This window comes from Homo sapiens, chromosome 2 (genome assembly GCF_000001405.40).
Source record: "Homo sapiens chromosome 2, GRCh38.p14 Primary Assembly".
Lineage (NCBI taxonomy): Eukaryota > Metazoa > Chordata > Mammalia > Primates > Hominidae > Homo > Homo sapiens.
Genome location: NC_000002.12, coordinates 152,804,219 through 152,808,925, shown reverse-complemented (window position 1 = coordinate 152,808,925; position 4,707 = coordinate 152,804,219). Strand labels below are relative to the sequence as shown.

Genomic DNA, 4,707 nt, shown 5'->3' with positions numbered 1-4,707 from the left:
TAATGAGACTGAATCAATAAAAAGTCTCTTAACAACAACTTACTTAAACAAAAGCCCAGGACTAAATGGCCTCACTGCTGAACTCCACCAAACTTTCAAAGAAAAACTAACACCAATTCTCTTCAAACTATCCGAAAAATGGAAAAAGAGGAAATACTTCCTAACTTATTTTATAAAGCAACATTACCCTGATACCAAAACCAGACAAGTATGCAATAAAAAAAGAAAACTAGCCAGACACAGTGGCTCATGCCTGTAATCCACACTTTGGGAGGCTGAGGTGGGCATATCACTTCAGGTCAGGAGTCCGAGAGCACCTAAGCCAACATGGTGAAACTCTACCTCTACTAAAAATACAAAAGTTAGCTGGGTGTGGTGGCAGGTGCCTGTAATCTCAGCTACTTGGGAGGCTGAGGAGGGAGAATTGCTTGAACCTGGGAAGTGGAGGTTGCAGTGAGCCGAGTTTGTGCCACTGCACTCCAGCCTGGCAACTGGGCAAGAAAGATTCCCTCTCAAAAAAAAAAAAAAAAAAAAAAAAAAAAAAAAAAAAAAAAAAAAAAAAACTACAGACAAATATCCCAGATGAAAAGACACAAAAATTCTCAACAAGAGACTAACTAAATCCAACAGCACATCAAAAGATAATACACTGTGATCAAGTGGGATTAATCCCAAGGATGCAAGGATAGTTCAACATATACAAGTCAATAAACATGAGACATCACATCTAGAGAATGAAGGACAAAAAACATATCATCTCAATATGTGCACAAAAGAGTATTTGATCAAATTCAACATCGTTTATTAATAAAAACTCTCAAAAAAACGAGGCATAGAAGAAACATACCTCAAAATAATAAAGTGATGGCATCCAATTATCATCTTCCTCCAAAACACCTAAACTCCTTAAAAATGCCTACATTTTTTCTCTGTGCCAAATTCGAGATGTAAGTTTGTATCCTGTTTTCTCTAAAACTTGGCAAGTGCTTTGCGCTCATGCAACAGATAAACTGTAATCTATTCCATTTACAGAGACAGAGTTTAATCTAACTAGTGAGTTTTACCTGACTCGTGGCTAAAATTTTAAAATCAAAGCTATAAAGTCTTTTTTTTTTTTTTTAAGAGACAGAGTCTCGCTCTGTCACCCAGGCTAGAGTGCAGTGGCGCGATCTCAGCTCACTGCAACCTCCACCTCCTGGGTTCAGGAATTCTCCTGCCTCAACCTCCCTAACAGCTGGGACTAGAGGCACATGCCACCATGCCCAGCTAATTCTTTTTTTGTATTTTAGTAGAGATGGGGTTTCACTGCGTTGCCCAGGCTGGTCTCAGACTCCTGAGCTCAGGCAGTCCTCCTGCCTCGGCCTCCCAAAGTGCTAGGATTACAGGCGTGAGCCACCATGCCCAGCAGCTATAAAGTCTTTATGTTTGCCTGTATTTTATGTGCACATGTGTGTACATGTGTGTTTGTATACTGCCTACATAGTATTACATTAACTTAATAAATAAATAAGTGCTCATAAATTGAGTAAATAAGTTCAAATGCTTTTCAAATTCATGTGAGTTTTGTAATTTTCGGCAAACAAAAGTAGTTTTACAAGTCAATAACAACAAAAAACAATCCCATTAAAAAGTGGGCAAATGACATGAAGAGACATTTCTCAAAAGAATACATACAAGTGGCCAAAAAAAAAATGAAAAAAATGCTACATATCAGTAATCATCAGAGAAATCCAAATCAAAACCACAATGAGACACTATCTAACACCAGTCAGAATGACTATGACTAAAACCTCAAGAGATGACATGCTGGCAAGCCTGAAGAGAAAAGGGAACACATATAAACTATTGATGGGAATGAAATTAGTTCAGCCACCGTGGAAAGCAGTTTGGACATTTCTTAAAGAGCTAAAAAAAGGAACTACCATTCAACCCAGTAATTCCATTATTGGATATATACCAAAAGGGAAATAAATCACTCCACTTGAAAGATATATGCACTTTTATGTTCATTGCAGCACTATTCATAATAGCAAAGACATGGAGTAAACCTAAGTGCCTATCAACTGTGGACTGGATAATGAAACTATAGTAAATGTACATCATGGAATACTACACATTCATAAAAAGGAACAAAATCATGGCCTTTACAACAACATGGATGCAGCTAGAGGCCATTATCCTAGGCAAATTAATACAGAAACAGAAAACCAAATACCACATGTTCTCATTTATAAGTGGGAGCTAAACACTGGAAACACATAGGCATAAAGATGAAAACAGTAGACACTGGGGACTACCAGAAGGGGGAGGAAAGAAAGCGAGTAAATATTGAAAAACTACCTATTGGGTACTATGCGAACTACCTGGATGAAGGGATCAATCATACCCCAAGTGTCAGCATCACACAACATACCCATGTAATGAACTTGCATATGTAGTCCCTGAATCTAAAACAAAAGTTTTAAAATAAAATTTGTAAAAAACAAAAACAAAAAGAAAACCCTAGTTTTTAAATTGTTGATAAAATGAAATTTGAACATCTTCAGAACTGTCAATATTAAATATAGTTCGTATGTTTTTACCTGGATCTATTGGTCAAACAGGTTTGTGCTGTCTGTGCTAGTTGTTTTAAGGCTATAAAATTGTTGCTTCTGTGACATTTTTGATAGTTTGATATTTCTGGAACTTATGTCTTTGGTTTTGAGTCTTTAGATTCTGTGGTGTAGAAAAGTAGCCATGGTGAGACCTATAAACACATGTGTGTCTTCAGCACCTGTGCCTCCTGGCCATGATGAAAGGGAGTAGGATCCCCCAGGAATCCTCCTCACAGCTCTGTCTTCCATCCTGAGCTCTACAACTAATGTTTAAATTCATGACCCAGACAGATCTTGCCTTTCACTGCTGTCCTATGTGTCATGTGACTTAAGAAGATGTTAGGTAGGGAGGGTACCTATGTAATAGTTTCAGAATTATTTTCAGTAATTTAAAATCTTGAAGTCAAATAATTGATAATTATAAAAATGTCTGTTACTTTTAACTAAAACACTGAAACATTTAACATGAGTTTAAGTTCATATAATTTGTCATATTTATATGAGAAAATCTAAATGTTTAGATCTGTCAATTAACAAAAAAATTGAGGAAACATCTTTTTAAAACATTATGAAATGATTTTCATCTACAAATACTGTTATAAAACAGTTCAAGATTATTTCCTAGATCTTTCACTAGAAATTAGGGTTACTAAGAGTTAATATTATAGTTAACATATGTGGTTAAAAGGACTAGATATAAAAGAAACAATTCTATATAGTGTATAAAGAAAATAAAATGTGTTTTGGTGAAGGTTATTAAAGAAGATATGTCAGTGCAGTTTTGTTACAGGAAAAGTAATTTTTCTTAGTTTAGAGGTATATAAAGGTTGTTTTAAATTGCAGGAATTAAAAAAGGTAGATAAAATGAAATGGATATAGGAATTTGGGGAGAGTAAAGGTTTTTGCTTTATGAAATCTTTTAATTATCACTTTGGCTAAACAAATGACTATTATTTTACAGTGATCTGTGATCCTATTGAGAGGTGACAACATGATAGCAGCCCTCGCTCGCTCTCGGCATCCACTCTGGCCACGCTTGAGGAGCCCTTCAGCCCACCACTGCACTGTGGGAACCCCTCTGTGGGCTAGCCAAGGCCGGAGCCGGCTCCCTCTGCTTGCGGGGAGGTATGGAGGGAGAGGTGCGGGTGGGAACCAGGGCTGCGCGCTCCTGGGCCAGCGCAAGTTCCGGGTGGGCGTGGGCTCAGTGGGCCCCACACTCCGAGGGGTCAGCCGGTGCCGCCGGCCCCAGGCAGTGAGGGGCTTAGCACCTGGGCCAGCAGCTGCAGAGGGTGCACTGGGTCCCTCAGCAGTGCCGGCCTGCTGGTGCCACGCTCAAATTCTCGCCGGGCCTCAGCTGACTCCCCCCAGGGCAGGGCTCAGGACCTGCAGCCTGCCATGCCCAAGCCTCCCCCCCGAATCCCCCGTGTGCTCCCGCATGGCCCGAGCCTCCCCAACAGACACCATCCTCTGCTCCACAACACCCTATCCCACCGACCGCCCAGGGGCTTAGGAGTGCAGGCACACAGTGGCACGGGACTGGCAGGCAGCTTCACCCACGGCCCCAATGCAGGATCCACTAGATGAAGCCAGCTGGGTTCCTGAGTTGGGTGGGGACTTGGAGAACTTTTATGTCTAGCTAGAGGATTGTAAATGCACCAGTCAGCACTCTGTGTCTAGCTCAGGGATTGTAAACGCACCAATCAGCACCCTGTCAAAACAGACCAATCAGCTCTCTGTAAAACAGACCAATCAGCTCTCTGTAAAATGGACCAATCAGCAGGATGCAGGTAGGGCCAGATAAGATAATAAAAGCAGGCCTCCCCGTCAAGCAGCGGCAACGTGCTCGGGTCAGGAAGCTTTGTTGTTTTGTTCTTTGCAATAAATCTTGCTGCTGTTCACTCTTTGGGTCCGCACTGCTCTTAAGAGCTGTAACACTTAACCGTGAAGGTCTGCAGCTTTACTCTTGAGGCCAGTGAGACCACGAACGCACTGGGAGGAATGAACAACTCCGGATGGGAGGAACGAACAACTTCAGACACACTGCCTTAAGAACTGTAACACCACAAAGGTCTGTAGCTTCACTTCTGAAGCCAGTGAAACCACGAACTCACCA

General features: G+C 41.0%; 1 annotated feature.

The window, feature by feature from the left end:
- Positions 3,862-4,073: a silencer, noted in NCBI's record as "fragment chr2:153661367-153661578 (GRCh37/hg19 assembly coordinates)". NCBI's record gives its function as "represses an EF-1alpha promoter that drives an FKBP-Casp9 reporter gene in an ReSE screen in HepG2 liver carcinoma cells {active_cell/tissue: HepG2}" and the evidence as "EXISTENCE:reporter gene assay evidence [ECO:0000049][PMID:32094911]".